This window comes from Homo sapiens, chromosome 5 (assembly GCF_000001405.40).
Source record: "Homo sapiens chromosome 5, GRCh38.p14 Primary Assembly".
Classification (NCBI taxonomy): Eukaryota; Metazoa; Chordata; class Mammalia; order Primates; family Hominidae; genus Homo; species Homo sapiens.
Window position 1 is genome coordinate 28,571,922 of NC_000005.10, and position 22,394 is coordinate 28,594,315.

Sequence of the window (22,394 nt, forward strand, 5' to 3'; positions counted from 1 at the left end):
CTTTTTGGCTAGAGGTTAGAAGAAAACTATAGAAAGATCATATTTCAAAAAGATACAAAGAAAGCTGCACGAGGTTATTTGTAACAGGATCCTCAGAACTTCGACAAATGCCCAGACCAAAAACAAAGCAAAACAAAACAACACAGAAACAAAACCTATTTAGACTGGTAGCCAATGTGTCTCTGTTTAGACTGGTGGCCAACGTGTCTCTGAGAAACTGAAGAAGACTTTTTTTTCCATGTTGTCTCACAGTCAACAATAATGATCTTAATTGTGCTTACAGAAAAGCAGAGGAAGTATATTAAGAGAATTCTGGTAAGTATGAAACTATGATCTTAGTGACTGTAAAATAATAAAAGAACAATACAGTTGTAGAGTTGATCATTTGTGGGCAATCCAAAAAAAAAAAAAAAAGAGACTTATCCACAATGGTAGAACCACATCAAAGATAAAACACCCAAATGCAGGTGTCCAGCACATAAATGGAATTTTGAGGTCTGGAGCACAAGAAGAAAATCAGGATAGGTTGCAAGCATTTGGGAGTCATCATTACATAAAAAATTGAAAATATAAAAATTGATTACATTGTTCATGTATGGCATGCATGCATTGTAAAGGTAAATGGGGCAGAAAGAAATCCCAGGAAAACACTAATTTTAAGAGCCAGAAAGAAAGAGAGTTCATGAAGAAGAATGGAAGGGAACATAGGTGGCTGGAGAGTTGCAAGAAATATCACCTGGCCCTTAATGTGACCTGCAATGTAGTTTATCTGCACCCCAAGTACCTATCAGGAAGTATAAGTGCCAATTCCTTGGTGCTTTGCAGAAAATACAACCTTTTTGATGTAACCTTTGGGGCATGCAGTTTATCCATTCTACGTAATCTATCCCTAGATCACATCAGAACAGCTGAGGCTGCAAATATAAAGTACTTTATTTCAGCCTCCTTAGAATGGTTTTATTGAAATACGTTTGGCAACAGCCATTATGGGATGCTATAAGATGTAGTTTTATTAAACTTGTCCTCTATTTTTTGTAAAATTGAAGTGTTCGATAAATTTCAGTTTTCTATATGAGGACTGACACTAGGAATGTCTTCTTGGCCACTGAACTGGGAATAGTAACGCTGTACCTCAGTAAATTTTCTGTTCCTTTATAACATTACCATATATTTAGCTGATCAAAATTTGATCTTTGCATTGCCTGGAAGAGGCAAGTAAATGGTCCAACTTTATCATAGAGGAATTTAAGTCATATATTTCATATTTAACCTCACCTGGCTTTTTTTTTTTACCTATGCTACTCTATTTTTATTTGTTTTTTATTGTTTCATTACATTTTCTTCTATTGAATATATGAAAGTCAACTTAAACTATGCTGACTATTTTCCATTTACCCATTCTGATGCAGCATCCATCCTCCTCCACTTTGAACTGTGTCTTTGGAAGCTGAACTTTGTGAATGACAGCAACCCAGCTCATTTTTCCTCAGGCTTCAGCATATCTTTGGCTAATGGGAGGTGTAGCCTAGAGATCAGGGGGACTGGAAGATGGTGAATGAGTTTGAGCTATCAATGTCTCCAGGGTTTTTTGTTTGTTTGTTTTACTTTTTGTGCTGTGATTTGACAGCAGCCATAACTCTTATCATGTTATTCCCACCGGTGACCATAGAAGTCTTCAGTTTTTGGTTACAAAATTTCTTCCTTTTTCATCTCAAGCCTGGATATGACATTGGCTTCCTACTATTGCTCTCAGCCTGGTGTTTAGCCATTTTTGTTTGCTTAAACCTATTCAAAATTTTATAAAAGTCACTCTTCTATCTGTCTTCTGTTAACTCTTGCCATGTATCTTGTTTCCTGTTGAGATATTTTCTGATCAAGGCATCTTAATAATTGTTTGATTAAAGACACTTCCTATTTTATTGTGTGCATCCACACATGAGTGTACACGTACAGAGTCACAAATGTGAACTAAGTGAATTATTTTTATTTTTATGAGCCAAGATTCTGAAGCACAGAATGGAAAAAAAAATTAACAAATTTTTCTCCTAATAGCTTTGTTTATCTAGTCTTATTTCTCTCAATGTCACTTAAACAAATTAAAATTAACTTGTGATGGTGCTATAGAACTGAACTGGGGTCCACTTGCCCAGTGCAGTAAGACCAGATATCTACACCAACGTTTGCAGCCATAGAAAGAAAGGTGATTATTTGCAGGGCATCAAGCAAGGAGGACCAGGCAGCTAACACCTAACTCCTGACCTCTCCAATGGTGGGTATGCAAGAGTTTATAAAGAAAGGGGTAAATTTCAGGAAAACAGAAGTTACAGGCAAAATTGTAAATCAACACATAGAGGTTACACCCTGGTTTGGGCCTAAAACGGAGAGAGGTTTTGAAGCGGGATCCCACAATTCCTAGGTCAATTCAAATATTTTATGATTTGAATTCGGTTCAGGAGGCAAAGCTTTGCCTAAAAATTTGGGATTAACAGAATGTTAGTTCTGGCCTGGGGATGTGACCTCCTCCAGGTCCCTCAGGAAGACATTTTAAAAAAAGAATGGTGATCAGAGTTCAGTCCTCAGTTCCCCTTTGAGGTTTACATGCCAGTAGACTTATTTGGTGGAAGTCTGCATTTCTGAATAACAACCCAGAGACATATGTTAGTAAGTTACCTTTAGTTTCTATAGGGAACCATATAGTCATATGACTCTAAGTCTTTTCACTATTGTTTTAAGTTACTATTATCTTCTTATTTATCAAGTTGCTTCTTTACTTTTCAAGGCTAGTCAGCTTCCTGGAATTTCCCTTGAAGGAACTCAATATTTTCTTTTATGTCCATGCTTGGTGGAGCCTGCAGGCCACTAAGAGGGGGTGACTGCTCTTGTCCCTGACTCCTGATGTTAACATTCTTACATAGTCCCTTTTAATCATGTCCTAGGGTTGGTATGTGTGACCAGAAGCATGTGGAAAAAGTAATGGTGTGAGTGATTCAAGCGTAACATTGCAGTAGACAGCTCCAAGCTCATATCCCTCCTAAAGAAATACTGAAAAACATGCAGAAACAGTTAGAACCAATTCTGGCAGAACTCTAGGAAGGTTTATGGTAACCAAGTAAATATTGAGTTGAGAAAAAGGCAACTTCAAAACTGTTGAAAATGTCTTTTTCCAAGATGGTCAACTAGATGCAGCCAGAAAATGCTGCTCCCACAGAGAGACAATTTCAACTACACCAACATAATTTGAACAGATCTTTAGGGAGAAAATGCTGAATGTGGATGGAGAAAAGATGCAGTCACTGAGGCTGAAGAGGGAGGCAGATAAGAACTCTTTGTGGGGTGCCTGCATGTTACCACTGGTTTCTGCCCCTGAATGGCTCCTGGGAAAGAGGTGACTGACAGGGCTGGGAAACTGCTCACACTTGCCACATATCTCTGGGATCCTAGCTGCAGAGGACCCCATACCCCCACAAATGTGGGAGCTGGTAGAGAGAACTCTCTGGATATTAGACAGAAACAGAGCCGAGCAGGCACAGAGCTGGGAACTGAGCATGGGGAAGCTCCGGTGGAGCCGGCTATAAGCACGCACTTCCCAGGGCTACCTGGCTCTCCCTGAGAGGAGCTAGGTAACTGCTAGGGAGAAGGCAGGGTCTGCTTCCATGTGGGACTGGGGCATATCTGTCCTGCAGGACGGCTTGCCCACCAGCCCCTCCCGGGACCCCTGCCTGGCCACTCTATAGAAGTGTGTACACAATGCAGCCTCTGCTGCCCAGGCTGGGTGTTTTGCTCCACTCGCCTGTGTTCTGGCAGCCTGGGAACACCTTGGACCCCATATCACACCCAGAACCCAACCCCAGGCATCCATAGGAGGGAGCTACAAGCAGATCCTGTGTCCCAGGGCAGTGGCCTGTGGCTCAGGAGTGTCAAGCTATAATCTGTGATTGGCACTTGAGTAGAGCAGGAGCCCACACGCTCAGAAAACTGAGAGTGCTGAGTTGCACAGGTTTGTGGGCTGGCATGGGACCTAGCCCTCCCTTTCTCCACAGGGTAGGTCTGGTAAGGGTATTTCTCTACCAGATATCTCCCCCAAGGGAGCCCTGTGGCCCAAAAGACCTAACAACAACAACAACAACAACAACAACAAAATAGTGGACACAGTGACAGTGATGAGAGATGGCTCCCCCAAAGCCCACAAGCAGACCAGGTAATGGAATCACCTCTCTTGCCCTCACACCATAGAACACAGCTGTAAACTCAAAGATACATGAAGGAACCACATGGCTGAGTAAAAGCCTATCTACTGCCCATTACTCTCAAGAGCCATCTACTGGATCGCAGCTGAAGCTACACCAGAGATCACTTTAGAATTTCCCCCCTGCAAAACCAATAGCAAGAATTCTACAACAAAGTCCTATATAGTGCCTTGGTCCTCTGAAAACTTCCAGAAATGATGCCAGCAGACTATAATCAATTTACACCACGATTAAAAGCATATCAGTCTTCTCAGATGAGAAAGAATCAGCACAAGAACTCTGGCAATTCAAAAAGCCAGAGTGTCACCTTAAATCCAAACAAGCCCACTAGCTCCCCAACAATGGTTCTTAACCAGTCTGAATTATCTGAAAGGACAGACAGAATTCGGAACTGGATGGCAAGGAAGCTCATTGAGATTGAAGAGAAAGCTAAAATTTAATCCAAGGAAACCAAGCAATCCAGTAAAATGATTCAAAGCTGAAAGATGAAATTCCCATTTTACGAAAGAGCCAAACTGAAATTCTTGAGCTGAAAAATACATTATAAGAATTTTGTAATACAACTGGAAGTAATAACAGCAGAATAGACGAAGCTAAGGAAAAAATCCCAGAGCTTGAATACCAGTTCTTCAAGTCAACTCAGTCATACAAAAATAAAGAAAAAAGAATGAAGAAACATGAACAAAACCTCCGAGAAATGTGGGATTATATAAAGAGACAAAATCTGTGACTCATTGGCATTCCTGAGAGAGAAGGAGAGAAAAAAACAACTTGGAAGACATAACACATCTGACACTATAGTCCATGAAAACTTCTCTAATTAAACTTGAGATGTTCATACACAAATCCAAGAAATACAGACAGTCTTGACCAGATAATATACAACACGGTCATCCCCAAGGCACATAGTCATCATAGTCACCAAGGTCAATCAAAAAATCTTAAAAGTAGCTAGAGAGAACAGGCACATCACCTACAGAGGGAACCTCATCAGGCTAGCAGTGTACTTCTCAGCAAGAACCTTACAAGCCGGAAGAGATTGGGGGCCTGTTTTCAGTGTTCTTAAGGAAAGAAAATTCCAGTCAATAATTTCATATCCTGCCAAATTTATCTTCATAAGTGAAGAAGAAATAAAATCCTTCTCTGGCAAGCAAATGTTGAAGAAATACATTTCAATTAGACCAGCCATACAGAAGGACTTTAAGAGATTGATAAGAATGAAGCCAAAAGAACCACACCTGCTACCACAAGAGCACACTTAAGCACATAGCTCACAGGCACTATAGAAGAACTACACAATCAAGCCTACATAAATACCAGCTAACAACACTACAGGATTAATATCACACATATCAACACTAAACTTGAATAGAAATGTGCTAAATCCCCCATTTAAAAGGCACAGAGTGGCAGGCTGGATAAAAAGACAAGACCCAACCATCTTTTGTCTTGCAGAGACCCATCTCACATGTAACAACACCCACAGCCAAAAAGTAAAAGGGAAGAGTGAGACCTTCCATGCAAATGTAAAACAAAATAAAACACAAAGCACTATTTTTATGTCAGATAAAATGCAACTTAAGTCAATAAAAATTAAGAAGCACATTGAAGAGCATTACATGATGATAAAGAATGCAATCCAACAAGAAACTTTACCCCCTATATATATGCACCCAACATTGGAGCACCCAGATTTATAAAACAACTTTTTCTTGGCATAAAAAAAGACTTAGACAACCACACAATAATATTGTGAGACTTCAACACCCTGCTGACAGCATTCGACAGACTATCAAGTCAAAACAAAACAAAACAACAAAAACAAAGAACCTCTGGACTTAAATTCAACTCTTGACCAATTGGACATAATAGACATCTATAGAAAACTCCATCCAACAACCACAGAATAGACATTCTTCAAACTTGCACATGAAACATGTTTTAAGATCAGCTATATTCTTAGTCATAGGGCAAACCTCCATAAATTAAAAAGCTTGAAATCATACCATGTACACTCTTGAACACAGTGCAATCAAAATAGAAGTTAACAGCAAGAAGATTTCTCAAAACAACACAAATACACAGAAATTTAAAAACTTATGCCTGAATAACTCCTGGGTGAACATCAAAATTAAGGCAGAAATAAAAATTCTTTGAAATTAATAAAACTAGAGACACAACTTACAAAAATATCTGAGATGTAGCTAAAGCAGTACCAAGGGGAAAGTTTATAGTCCTAAATGCTTTTATCAAGAAGTTAGAAATGTCTCAAATTAACAATGTAAGTTTGCACCTGAAGAATCTAGGCAGAAAAAGAAAATACCAAACCAACTCTGAAGCTAGCAAGAGAAAAGAAATAACTAAAATTAGAGAACTTACTGAAATTGAGATGCAAAAATCCGCATAAAACTTCAATGAAAACAAGAGTTGGTGATTTGAAAAGACAAATAAGATTGATAGAGATCCCCTGGCTTGGTTAACAAATACAAAGAGAAGATCCAAGTAAGCACGATCAGTAATGACAAAGATGATACTACAACTGATCACTCAGAAACACAGAAGATCCTCAGATACCACTATGAACAACTCTATGCTCAAAAATTTAAAAATCTAGAGGAAATGGATAAATTCCTGGGAGCACAAAATCTCCCAAGATTGGATCAGGAAGAGTTTGAAACCCTGAATAGACAAATACCAACTTCTGAAGAACCTACCAACGAAAAGAAACTGCGGGCCAGATAGATTCATAGCCAAATTCTACCAGACATACCAAGAAAAGCTAATACCAATTCTACTGCAGCTATTCCAAAAATTGAGGAACAAGGACCCCTTGCTAACTCATTCTATGAATCCAACATCAGCTTTATGCCAAAATTTGGCAGAGACACAACAAAAAAAGAAAACATCAGACCAATATCTCTCATGATTATATATGCAAAAGTCCTCAACAAAATACTAGCAAATTTAATCCAGCAGCACATCAAAAAGTTAACACACCACAATCAAGTAGGCATTATTCCTAGAATGCAAAGCTGATTCAACATGCACACATTAATAAATGTGATTTACCGCATAAACAGAACCAAAAGCGAAAACCGTATGATCATCTCAATAGATGCGGAAAAGGCATTTGATAAAATCCAACATCCCCTCATGACAAAATCCTCAAAAACCTAGGCATCAAAGAAACATACCTCAAAATAATAAGAGCCATCTTCGACAAACCCACAGTAAACATCCTACTGAATGGACAAAAGCTGGAAGCACTCCCCTTGAGAACTGGAGCAAGATAAAGATGTCCACTCACACCACTCTTACTCAACACAGTACTGGAATTACTAGACAGAGCAGTCAGGCAAAAAAAAAAAAAAGTTATAAAAGGCATCTAAATAAGAAAAGAAGTCAAACTGTGTCTCTTCATTGACGATATGATTCTGGACCTAGAAAATCCTAGAGACTCTGACATAAGGTTACTAGTATTGATAAAGGATTTGTATTCAGTAAAGTTTCTGGATACAAAATTAAGGAACAATAATCAGTAGCATTTTTACTCAACAACAACTGAGAGTGAAATCAGGAACACAATCCCACTTACAATAACCACAAAGAAAATAAAACACCTAGGAATACAGCTAACCAAGGAGGTGAAAGATCTCCATAAGGAGAACTACCAAACACTGCAGAGAGAAATCAGAGATGACACAAATAAATGGAAAAACATTTCATGCTCATGAATTGGAAGAATCAATGTCATAAAAATGGCCATGCTGCCCAAAGCAATTTACAGATTCAATGATATTACTATCAAACTATCAATGTCATTCTTCACAGAATTGGGGAAAAAAGTATGCTAAAATTCACATGGAACCAAAAAAGAGCCTGAATTGTGAAAGCTATCCTAAGTAAACAGAACAAAGCCAGAGGCATTGCACTACCTTACTTCAAACTGTAGTATAAAGCCAGAGTAATCAAAACATTTTGTACTGGTACAAAAACAGGCATGGAGAAAAATGGAACAGAATAGAAGACTCAGAAATAAAGTCACACACCTACAATCATCTGATCTATGACAAGGCTGATGAAAACAAGCACTGGGGAAAGGACTCCCTATTCAATAAATGGTGCTGAGATAACTGGCTAGTCATATGCAGAAGACTGAAGCCACACCCCTTCCTTTTGCCATATAAAAAATTAATTCAAAATGGATTAAAGATTTAAATGTAAAACCTCAAAGTATAAAAATCCTGGAAGACAACCTAAGAAATACTCTTCTCGACATCAGTCTTGGCAAGAAATTTTTAACTAAGTCTCTGAAAGAAATCACAACAAAACCAAAAATAAAGTGGGACCTAATTAAACTAAAAATCTCCTGAACAGAGAAATAAACTATCAACAGAGCAAACAGACAACCCACAGAATGGGAGAAGATATTTGCAAACCATGCATCTGACAAAGGTATAATATCCTGATTTTGTAGGTTACTTAAACAAATTAACAAGTGAAAACCAAATAATCCCATTAAAAAATGGACAAAGGATACTAACAAACCCTTCTCAAAACAAAAAAAAGACATATAAGGGGCCAATGAACATATGAAAATATGCTTCGCATGACTAATCATTAGAAAAATGCAAATCAAAACCACAGTCAGATACCGTCTCAGACCAGTCAGAATGGCTATTATTAAAAGAACAACAGATGCTGGTGAGGCTTGGGAGAAAATGTAACACTATACACTCCTGATGGAAATGAAAATTAGTACAGCCACGGTGAAAAGCAGTGTGAACATTTCTCGTGTAACTTACAATAGAGCTACCATTTGACCCAGCAATCTCATATTAGATATATACCCAAAGAAAATAAACCATTTTCCCAAAAAGATACATGCGCTTGTATGTTCATTCCTGTGCTATTCACAATAGCAAAGACATGTAATCAACCCAGGTGCCCACCAATGATAGATCAGATAAAGACAATGTGGTACATATATACCATGGAATTCTACACAGTCATGAAAGAATGAAATCAAGTCCTTTGCAGCAACATGAATGGGGCTGGAGGTCATAATTCTATGCAAATTAATGCAGAAACAGAAAACCAAATACCACATGTTCTCACTTATAAGTGGTAGCCAAACATTGAATACAAATGGACAAAAATATGGGAACAGTAGTTATTGAGGACTACTATGGAGGATGGGGAGTGTGTGAATTAAAAGAAACTACCTACTGGGGACTATGCTCACGTTTGGAGTGTCAGTATCTGTACTCCAAGCGTCAACATCATGCAGTATTCCCATGTAACAAGTCTGCATGTGTACCCTGTATCTAAAATAAATATTAAGAAAAACAGCAAAAAAATCACACAAAAAATAAAAACAAAAACAAACAACAAATCTAAAAAATATTTGTGAAGTTTTTACTCTCCTTGTTTCAACCCCCTTGGGCATGGCGGCACTTTTGAAGAGAGATGTCCACATTCCCAGAGTAATACTCTGGTCTCTGGTTGTGGAGGAACCAGAACAGACTCTATTTGCAAATTATTTTGTGTGTGTATTCTCACCTGTATGAAGGCCACTTGAGGGAGTGACGTAAGGCATTCATATCTGTTTCAATTAATTTAGAATCCAGGCCAGGAAGCAAGCACTGGACATTGCTCAAAAACACTGCAAGCCAACCCAATAACCTGCAGACTCCTGTGGCAAAGAACACGCTGAAACATGCAATAGACTACCTGTAGCTTGGGAGTAAAAGCTAGAAAGAGTTCCTTTGGGAAGCTAAGACATTCAAAAGCACGTTCATATGAGGAGAAATTTAGGAGGCTGTGCTCAGGTCCAGAGCAAGACAAAATGCTTAGAAAAATCTAGGAAGACACAAACCTATCATTTTTAGTTGATTCTTAGTCTCAGTACAAGCCTGGTAAAGTGCTGAAGGAGCATCCCCTTCAGACTCGGAAAAGTGTTTTTTTGTTTGGTTGGTTGGCTGGTTTTAGCTGTTGGCATTATCCTTCAAAGGAAATCTCTGTTAAAACACTGGGTAAACACTAACTAAGGTACAGAGACGTTTTTGACTACATACAACGGATACAGCCTTTACAAAAATAGTTTGAAAAAGACACTAAGCAAATTGACTACTATAGCTTTCCATTGAAACAACCACAGGCAACAACAAAATAACAACAAACTCTGGGGAAGGGAGAAAATCTAATTTCTAAAATTACTTCATTACAATATTCAAATGTCCACCTTTAACAAAAGTATCACAAGGTGTACAAAGTAACAGAAAAATATGCTGATTCAAAGTAGTGAAATATGTGGATTCTCTCTAATGGAGCCAAAACTTTGGACTTACAAGACAATAACTTTAAAATAACCGTCTTGCAATGGATCTGTTAATAAGCCTGATTTAGCCATTCTACAATGTATACATATATGAAAACATCATGTTGCACAGCATAAATGTATACAACCTTATTAGTCAGTTATAAATAATTCAATATGTAAATAAAATTTTTAAAACAAAAAACAACTGTGTTAAGTATGCTAAACTCTAAACATTAAAAGAAAACATTAACAAATAACTGTGGGAAATCAGGGAAATAGTATATATACAAAATAAGAATATTAAGAAATATAAATTTTAACAAAGAAACAATCAGAAATTCTGGAGCTAAAAAGCACAATAACTAAGCAAAAAAAAATCAGTGTACTTGAAGATAATACAAACGAAATGATTAATTCTGAGAGGCAGAAAGAAAACAAGGGTGAAAAAATGAACAGAGCATAAGGGGATTATAGAGCACCACCAAGGACACCAACAAATGCATTATGGGAGGCCCAGAAGACAAAGGATGGGGGAAGAAATATGATGTAATAATGGCTGAAAACTCCCAAATTTAATAAAGACATGAATCTACAACCAAGAAGACATACAAACATAAATAGGATGAATTCAAGAGACTCACCAAATTTACAACCAAACTTGAAAGGAGCAAGAGAGGAGCAACTCATCACATACAAAAGATTCTCAATAAGATTAACAGCAATTTATCAGCAAAAACCAAGAAGGCAAGAAGACAGTGTGGTGATATATGTAAGGTACTGAAAAAAATTATCTACCAAAAATTTTAATTTGGCAAAATTGTCCTTTAAAAATTAGGGTAAAATTAAGACATTTCAAAGTAAACAAAAGCTGAGAGAATTCATTATCACTGGAACCGCCCCACAAGGAATGCCAAAGGGAGTCCTTCAGGTTAACATGAAAGGGCACTGAACAGTAATTCAATGCCATATGAAGAAATAAGAACCTCTGGTAGAGACAAATATATGGACCAATACAAAACCAGTATTATTGTATTTTTGGCTTATAACTCTACTTTTCTTTCATACAGATTTTAAAAGAGAGATACATAACAAATTATATAAAATTAATGTTGTGTGAAAAATGAATAAAGACAGATTATAACAACGTATGTGTGGGATGTATGAGACTTTATATGTACAGAATGTTTTATGTTACTGAAATTAAGTTGGTATCAATTTGAACTAGATTGTCATAAATTTAGGGTATTAAATGTAACACGTGTGGTAACCATTAAGAGAAAATCTAAAAGGTATAGAGAAAATGATTGAAAGGGAAACTATGGTTTACTGAAAATAAAACAACTAAATATAAAATATGTCAGTAATGGAGGAAATGAAGGATGGAAAATCTGTAAGACATACAGAAAACAAACTCATACATCTACGGCATATTTACTTTTGACAAAGGTTATCAAATTTATTCAATGGCAAATTAACAGCCTCTTCAACAAATGATGTTAGGACCACTGGATATTCACATGCAAAATAATAAAACTAGACTCCTATCTCAAACATATATGAAAATTCACTTAAGATGCATCAATCTCCTAAATATAAAAGCTAACCCTAAACTGTTAGGAGAAAATATAGAGGTAAATATTAATTACTTTGAATTTGACAATAGATTTTTAGATATGACAAAAGCATGAGCAACAAAAGAAAAAAACAAATAAATAGGGCTTTATAAATGACAACAAATGAACAAAAATATTTGCAAATTAAAGAACATTAGGAAGAAAGTAAAAAAAACTTACAAAATAAAGAAAATATTTGCAAATTATACATTTGATAAGAGATAATGATCCATCCAGATTGTACAAAGAATCCCTTCAACTCAACACCAATAACAATCTAATTATAAAATAGGCAAAGTATTTGAATAGACATTTATTTAAAGAAGCTATGTAAATAGCTTATAAGCACATTAAAATGCTCAACATCATTAGTCGTTATGGAAATGCGTATCAAAACCTTGCTGATGTATCATGCCATACTTACAAGGTTGAAAATAATTTTTGAAAATGGGGAATAACAAGTATTAAGCTATGGAGAAGTTGGAAACTTCCTTCATTGCTGATGGGAGTGTAAAACAGTGTAACCTCTGTGGAAAAGTTTGGCAGTGTTAAAAAATAGTAAACAGAATTACCATATAACACAGTAATTCCACTCATAGGTATATACACTAGAAATAATTGAAAATAGAGACTCAAACAGACACTTGTATGTTTATTATAGTACTATTCACAAAAGCCAAAAACTGGAAACAACAGATGAATGGATAAATAAAGTGTAGTATGTATGCACAATGGAATAGCATTCAACAATAAAAAAAATTAGATTCTGATACATGTTGCAACATGGATGATCTTTAAAAACATTATGCTAAGTGAAGCTAGACACAATAGGACAAATATAATTCTATGTATAGGAAATATTTTAAATGGCCAGTTCATAGAAGTTTAGAGCTTACTAGGGTCTGAAGGAACAGGGAATGGGGAGTTATTGCTTAATGTTATAGTGTTTCTGTTTGGAGTAATATAAACATTTTGTACATAGATAGTGGTGATGGTTGCACAACATTGTGAATATAATTAATACCACTGAACTGTGCTTAAAAATAGTTAAATGGCAATTTTATGCCACATATATTTCACTAAAATAAAAACTACTTTAAAACACACTATTGAAGAAAGCAAGCTCACTTCACTAGCCAAGAAGATTTAGTAAATTAATCCATTCCTGATAAATGTCACATTTAAACTGAGTCTATATTCTGTTATTATTTTTAGTTCAAGGTAAATAAATGGATTGCGTGATACAAATAGACAAAGCAAATGGAGGCAAAGTGATATATTGCCAGGTGTTATGACCACATCTTTGCTCAATCATAGTTAAGTGTCTATTCTAAACATACTCTAATAAAACTGAGAGGTGGTCTATGTCACCTCTCAGATTAGATTTTGAAGCCTGAAGTTCCCATCTTGTTTCTCTGTCTCCCTGTCTCTCTCTCTCTCTGTTTTGTTCTCTCTCTCATTATTCACTTTGGGGAAAGCAACCACCGTGTCTTCAGAACACTCAAGGCATCCCTATGGAGACAGCTCAAGGCAGCAAACTGAGGCATCAACCACCAGGCCAGTGAGTAAATGTGTCTTCAGATGCAGTCCCAGCTGAAGCCATGTCTGCAACCTTACCATGACCCTGAGTCAGAAACATCCAGCCGAGGTACACCTGGATTCCTAACACCCATAATCTGTGCATAATAAATATTTGCTATTTTAAGTCAAATTTTGGGGTCTTTCATTTTGCAGCAATGGATAGCTAATTCATAACTTATTCTATATCCACAACTTAAGATTTAACACTTGTGTACTACTCAATATTTTGTTTTAGAAGCATAAAATCAGTTAAGTGAAAAAATAATAAAAAGGTTTCATTGTAATAATTTATTTTATTATTTTTCAAACAAGAACCTAAATAATTTTTTTATACATTTTTCTGCTTATTGTTTCTCTGAATAGGGAACATTCAAAAAGTATTATTATATGTGATTTAAAAGCTAATCAAGGAACACTAACTTTCCTTTTTTATTCACATTTTACAATTTTGTGAGGTTAATTGCAATGTAAAACACTGTAATAAATGTTCCAGTGATTGTTTGCTTGGCGCAAGTGATCTGTAAAGAAATTACAGAAATTAGTTTAAAGTGATCATGTAAAATATTATCAGACACATACTTGAAATATCCATTCATCAACAAGAAATTTTCATTGGAGTAGATGTTATACACTCTAATTTCCACGCAATTTATTATGATGGTTCACAAATTATTAAAAAGTTACTTTATTTTAGAATCAAATAATAGCTTAATATTAATTTTCTGTAAAATTAATAGTGGCAGAAGTAAGCAATAATGTTCCCATAAGGTGGAAACTACTAATATAATACTTAAGGGAAATAAGTTTCCCACATTAATTGAGCATTTATAAATGCATTAAATGAATTTCCATGTGATGGAATTTAACAAAAGTAGTGTTTAGTTAAACAACCCAAACAATTCTCAGGTCAAAGTGCAAGTAAAATTATAAAACCCAAAGATGTGATTAATATGCCCTTGGATCTGAGTAATAAAGATAGGAAATAGATTTTGTATTTGAAAAAAATATATTATCAATGTTATATTAAACCTTCATGTACGTGGAAACAGAGCATGTAAAATTTTATAAAACTCTTCAATTCAGTGTTAATTGGTTTTCCATTCCACAAAACGATACTTGCTATAAGATGGACAAAAATTCTGTTTTTATAAACAGTGTTCCAAAGCAATATAGTAACATAAAAAACAACAAAAGGAAAGTATTAACCCCTTAGTTCAGATCATCATCGCTAAAACTGTACTTAAGAACGTGTTGGGAAGATTAATTTGGATGTGTCTGTATAACTGAGGGTCACAAATGTATTTAATGAACATGATGATGGAAATGCAAGTGAATGCCACACTCATACAAAATTATTGAAGGTGTATAAATTACTGTCTCTTTGTAAAAGCCTTCTTGATAAATATCAGAGAGGTGTTATTTATGAACTCACCGATGAAAAAGGCAATATACTGCAAGAGGATAGCAAAATAAAGGACAGATAGAAACTAAAGACAGATGGTAGATTTTTAAGAGTGGCTGTTGGGAGAATGGATAGTGAATAGCAGAAGTTAAGGAGGGCAGTGTGAATGATGGTGATTGTGTTTGATTATAAACTTACAGGGAAAATCGCTGTTTGAATGGAATGAGTGTTTTTTTGTAGTGGGAGGTGGGTAGTGCCTGGAATGGGTGCCGGTGCTGTAAGCAGTAGGAAAGTTAGGTGGCTAGTGGCTGAAGTGAACTGTAGTGGTGTTTCTACAATGGCAGCAATCCTTTCATTTATTCTGGAAAGGACACAAGGCTTTCAAGAATAACAGACACAGCTTTGTAAACTCCAGGGACTGAAGATTATCTAAATTATAACAAAAAAGCAGAATGCTGTATTTCTAGTTCAAGATGGTGATCCACTCCACATAAAGTCCAAAGACATCGACAGTAGCTATGTCTATCTACAATCTGAAACACATGGGAAAGCTTAGAGCAGAAGAATGAATATGAGAAGGTCACAGATTTGCCATGAATGCCTGTATGATTGAATACGGATAGAAGCATATTGATAAAACACTGAAACTAAAATATGACATATGATTTAAAATAAATATGGAGTTTAGAAAAAGAAATTTATGTGCCATTGGCCCTATAAATTAGTATGTGTTCCAGATTATTTTATGATGGTGAAAAACAGGGACACAATTGTTATTCTAACATATTATCTTACTCTATTGTAAAAACTATAGAGTTAAATATTAAAGCTTCTTATTCTTTTTTAAATACTCAAGGTAATAATAATGCTGTGGCTTTTTAAAAGATATGCATGCTTATTTTGAATATGTTAAGAAATATATAAGTAAAGAACGGGGAAAAAAAAAAGCCCAGGAATACTCCCACTGAGAAATAATTGTCATTATTGTGGTACAAAATTCCATATCTCTCTATTTGTAAAAATAAGATGACAGGAGTTAAAACTGAGTGCCTGCTTTTAAACTATGATAAACAAAATATGTTAAATTTTATTGAATTTGGCAGAAATTGATGTAAAATTAAGAACTTAAAGTAAATATTTCTCAATGATAGTTATTAGTCCTAGAATAATCTTCTGTAATAATGAGAAAAAAATGGCAAGCAGTGTCTTCTTTTCTTAATTTCTAAAATAATTACAATTGTATCTTACATTATCCATTGATTTCCAGATTAAAACAAAAAAAATAAAAAACAAAGTAAACACATGTACATTCTGTTCACCTCATCCATTTCCCATTTTGTCACATGATCAATGTTTAATCATTTTAGTCTTTTTTGTTTTTTCTATATGTACCTTACTTTAATGTTCACCAGTGGTCAATTTTCAAGAGATCCTAATTCTAGATTTTTTGTTAACGTGGTAGCAGTAACAGAGTATTATGTTAACAAGACTTCAATATTCAAGATTCAATGTTGTCATTTGTTTCCATGAATAATTCATGGTTGCCATATTCCCTGAGTTCGGTTTACTTTAAAATGTTTGCTAATTTAGAACTGGAAGGTCAAATTTTTCATATATAAAACCTTAGTGGCATAAGTTCTCAAAGATTATATGAGCACTGTTATTACCTTAGAAAAACTTGGAATTAAATTTAAACTTAGCCCTATTTCTTTCTTTCTTTTCTTTTCTTTTCCTTTTTTTTTTTTTTTTTGAGGAATCTCACACTGTTGCCTGGGCTGGAGAGTGATGGCACCATCTTGGCTCACTGCAACCTCCGCTTCCTGGGTTCAAACCATTCTCCTGACTCAGCCTCCTGAGTAGCTGCGATTACAGGCGTGCACCACCATGACCAGCTAATTTTTTTATTTTTAGTAGAGATGGAGTTTCACTGTGTTGGCTAGGCTGGTCTCGAACTCTTGACCTTGTGATCTGCTCTCCTCAGCCTCCCAAAGTGCTGGGGTTACAGGTGTGAGCCACCATGCCTGGCCTAACCTTAACCCTAATTCTAAAGTAATCCCTCAAATCAACCTCTTCATTGCAGTAAATAATTTTCCCCTATTTCCAGCCTCATCACTGATTCTTACATAGTGCTTACTCTAATAAACAAAGGATTTTCAAATCTTTTACTTATTTTAAATGAATTCTAATTTTTTCTTCCTTGAGCTGGATGTTTGTAATCTTAATGTAGGGAGAAAAGACTAAACTATTTTAAATTCTAATAGTCAACTTAACCTTCCCACATCCTGTCCAAACACTAAAAATAACCAAGCTCATATAGTTAATATTTTCTTGTCTTAAATTGTGCTAACCTAGAAATAGTCTGTGAGACAAAGATTTGAGTGGAAGAAGTTCATTTTGAAGGGATTTGGATTTCAGGAAGCATGTTTAAATGGGGGGTTACTGAGCTGTATCTAACAATTATCAAACCCATCCCTACTGGGAGTTATTTAGGTCTAGTCTCACTTCAAGATAGCTGTCAATTACCATTTTAAGAGGTCCTAGTCCTATGTTAATAAAGAGCTTAGCAAATGTTCTCCAACCACTATGATAGTTGAGGTTAAAAGTAGTGTCTTAGTTTTCTGTTGCTATAACAGAATACCACAGACTGGGTAATTTATAAATTAAAAAAAAGTTTATTTGGCTCAGAGTTCTGGAGGCTGGGAAGTCCAAGAGCATGGTGTTGGTATCTAGTGAGGGCCTTCTTTCTGTGTTAGCCCATGGTGGAAGTGCAAGTGAGCACAGAAGCCAGAGAGAGAAAGCAAGACAAACTCCATCCTTTTATCAGAGGAACCCACTTCTAAATACCCCATTCTCCCAATAAAGGTATTAATCTAATCATAAGAGTAGAGCCTTCATGGCCTAAGTGCCTCTTAAAGGCCTTACTTCCTAATACTCTTACAAGGGCAATTAAATTTCAAGATGAGTTTGGAGGTGAAAGCAAACCAAAGCAAATAGGAAAGTATGTGGTGAGTGTTAAGTAGCGTACTGTGGGTGCTACTTAATGCAAGCATTTAGACATTATTTTATGACCCAAAGGAAAAGGGAGTTATTATAAAGACAACATGGCACCTCTTCTTTCTTTCTTCTGTCTCTTTTTTCCTGATACACTATGAGAATCTGTTTTGAATATTTCAAAACAAAATTAAAACAAACTGTCATAAATCTAATTGGCTTTTATTCTTGATTCATGAGTTGGGGCAGCCTCCATTCTAAAGAACAGAATGAGATCTTTCAAAGAACAATAGCTGAAACGTGGCTTTTGTAAGGCGAGATAAGGAAATAGAACAATAGAAAAGTAGTTGATTGATTAACATCAAGTTACTTCAGGTTACTTGGTTTTTGTAAGGGTTAAAGCAGAGAGAACTTCCTTTTCATGCTGAATCAGGTAGACCTGAATCTCCTGTTTTCAGAAAATAATAAAAAAAAACTGATCTGTTATGGGATTTATCTGCTTTCGTAAAATTTCACTTTGCTTATTTGGCATTTAGCTTGAGTGACTACATTTTGGTTTGGTCAGGTCTGTTGGGGCCTGGTTCTGGAGCTCAGTCCAAAAAAACAGGCCTTCCATATAATTTGTTTAATGATAGTATAATTCTATACTATGATTATTCTAACTACCTCCATATTATGGCATCTCAGATTTTGGTATGCATAACTGCCATCTCAAGTTTTGTTAAAATGCACATTATCAGATATTTCCTCTAGGGCATTTGATTGAACTGTACCTGTATGAGGCCCAGGACGCTTCAGTTCTAATATCTGCCTCCAGATAATTTTGATACAAGTGGTGCCTGGATCACATTTCAGGAACACTGTGTAGCATATTTCAGGGATATTTACATTTCAATTGAGAATACTAAAAAATAAACAGTTTTTCTCTTTACTTTCCATAAATTCCAATATGAGAAGTAAAACTATTAATATTTCAGCTAAGTCCCACACTCTTATGTTGACCTTCACTTTATCCTCACTTACCTGGGAATAGTAGAAATATTATCCACCGATACCACACAGAGGAACCAGAAGATGGTACTTTCACCAAGACATTTAAAATTTGGGAGAAGAGGGGAAAGGATATTATTGAAAAGCTTTTATTTGGGAGGCCAAGGTTGATGAATGACTTGAGTCTAGTTCAAGACCAGCCTGGCCAACATGTCAAAACCCCATCTCTACTAAAATACAAACATAATAGCTGGACATGGTGGTACATGCCTGTAATCCCAGCTACTTCGGAGGAACCCAGAAGGCATAGGCTGCAGTGAGCCAAGATTGAGCCACTGCACTCTAGCCTGGGTGACAGAGCAAGATGGTGTCTCAAAAAAAAAAAGAAAGAAAGAAGGAGAAAAAGAAAAGCTTATAAATGGCACCTATGGGCTGGAAATGATGGTAGCAAGCTCTGAGTAGAATTGAATTTCTCTAGCTCAATGAAAAAAGAAGATCTTAGAGGTCAGATGGCAATGCTTTATCAAAGACAAGGGGCAATGGAATGCTATCTATAGTGGTCATCAAACAAATTATGAGTCTCTAGAAATGTCAGAGATGAGCAGCCTTCTAAGGTGCTACTTGATACGTACAGAAGGAAAAAGTCTAGTACAGAAAGCCAGAACCTTCACTCAAGTGAAAGCCATGAGATGCTAAACCTCTTATACAGTTTCCAGATGTTGATTTATACAAGAGGAGCCCTTTAACTGGGAGGGAGGAAAATATATAAAGGGAATCTTACAACATGGCCATAGGTCCCAAGAAAGACCTGCGGCTCAAGTGCTAGGAAATGAGAATTACCTATAATTTTCAGAGAATATCATATGTTGGCTCTGAACTTGCACTGCTTCCCAGAGACCCAATTCCACTCTGGCTCACTAGTGAAACAAGAGATTTACAGACGTTAGGTAATACAAAGGATACCAGTCCAGGTAAATTTAACAAAAGTCCAGTGTGACTGATGATAAATTGTGTGTTATTTTCAAAATCATAAATAAATTAGAAGGATTTCCACACTGGTTTCAATATCTATGGAGTAAAGTGTATTACGGCAGAAAGAGCTACACAGAAGTCCCTGGAACTACATACTCCTGGAAAAAAAAGTAAATCAAAGAATTATTTCATTCCTCAGGATCTGAAGAGATTATTTTTATCATCAAGAACCTCAGAGATGCAGGGGTATTGATTCCTACATCTCCCATTTAACTTGTTTGATTACCTGGCACAGAAACCAATTGAATAATGCATAATAATTATAGAGGGTTACAGGCTAAATCAGGTTGTGATGTCCATCAGAGCTTTCTTTTCAGATATAGTGTCTTTACTTGAGCAAATCAACACAGCACTTGGTGCAAGAATTGCTACAAATTCTTCCTTGCCTTTCCCATCAGTAAGAAAAATATCAAGCAGTTTGCATTTACAAAACAATACAATTTGAACAGGAAAAAGACTTTCTCTTGCTCCATTACTAAGTCAATATGTTGCTGCTGCATAATACAATCTGGAAAAAAATTATAATGATCAAATTCTACAGAAGATTCCATTGGATATTATGTTGATGGCATTATGCTAATTAGATATAATAAATATGAGCTTGTAAACACCCTATATGTCTTAGTAATGTAACTGTGCAATGAAGGGTGAGACATAAACTTGGATCAATTCCAGGGAATTATTAAATTTCTAGGGAATAAGTGGTCAAAGCATGTAAAGATATTTCTTCTAAAATGAGAAAGATACGATGATCCATTCTGTTTGACCAATGAAAAAGCTTTTGCTGGTTACATTTAGATTAGGAAACATCATCTCCAGTCATGCTTTTTCAGTGCATTTATTGGGTAATCCCCTGAAGCTGACAGTTTTGAGTAGGACCTTGAACAAGAGGTGTGCTGATCGTCATGTCCTGGGTGTTTTTTGATTCAATGAATCATCAAATTCATCATGCAGAGCAGAATCTAGTTATAAATTTAAGCTTGCATATAGGAGACTTGGATATAGAAGGTCCAGAAGCTTAAAGTAAACTTCATCAGCAAGTGGCTTATAAGTCAATTAGCTATTAATTTACTGACTTTTTCTCTGCTTCCTAAGCTCCCCAGTTAACACATGAGGAAGCAAGACTATACACAAGGGTAACACAAAACATATCCATTGTACGCAAGAAAACTGCTGGAAACTGATATTAAAAAATAAATAGCATTGGAAAAGTTGGTAACAAGGATATCTGAGTGAAATGAATGTAGATAGACTTCTTAGAACAGGCGTTGATAGTCACTGAGTGGGAAGACATTTTGATTACAAATGAATGCAAACAGTGAGCATTCAAGGTGGTAGATGTTCTCAGTAATTAGATGGCTAAGGTGCCTTATCCTATGGATAGCAGACAGTCTCTTTCTCTGGTCATTCTAAATATGCCTTGGAGGTTCCATAAACAACGTAGCCATGATGACAAGAAAAGAGTCTGCCCACAGTCTCAAAAGCTGATCTGGTGAAAGCCTCTGCTGACTCACCAAAATCCCAACATTCTTGGGCCAAAGCTAAGCTCCCAATATAACATAATTGTCTGGGATTATCAGTCAACTAGTGTTTCCAGGTTGATTTTGTTGGAATCCTCCCATGATGGAGGAGGATAGTTCATTTTCTGAATTTTGATGGACATATATGCAGTTTGTCTGCCCAGCATCACCATTGATGAGTTTCCTGAATGCCTTCTCTTTTTCGATGGTACCCTACACAGGATTGCCTCTGATCATTGGGCATATTCCTCAGCAAAGAAAATATAGCAATGGGTTCACAGCCATGGAATTCACTAGCCATCACCCAGAGCCATTGGGTTGATGGTTGGAAAGCTCACCAAGAAGTTATTTATGGTACTGCCTGGAAAATAACATGCTGTAAAGCTGAGGTACACTCCTATACTCTGTGGCAAATGCTTTTAAATTGTAGTGCAATATATTTTGCAGACTTTCTCACAGTCTAGATACACAACTTCAGAAACCAATATAGTGAGGTGCAATTATAAACCCTACGTGATGCAATTTTTGCTGATCCCCAAAACCTGTGGCTCCATTGCTTTGGAGATTTTACTTTCCAGGAGAGAATTGCTTCCATAGGAAAGATTGTCACAGTTTTGATGAATTAGAAGCTAAGTCAGTCCCTGGCAATTTTAGAATACCAGTACCCCTGAATTAACAGGCAGAGGAGTTTATTTT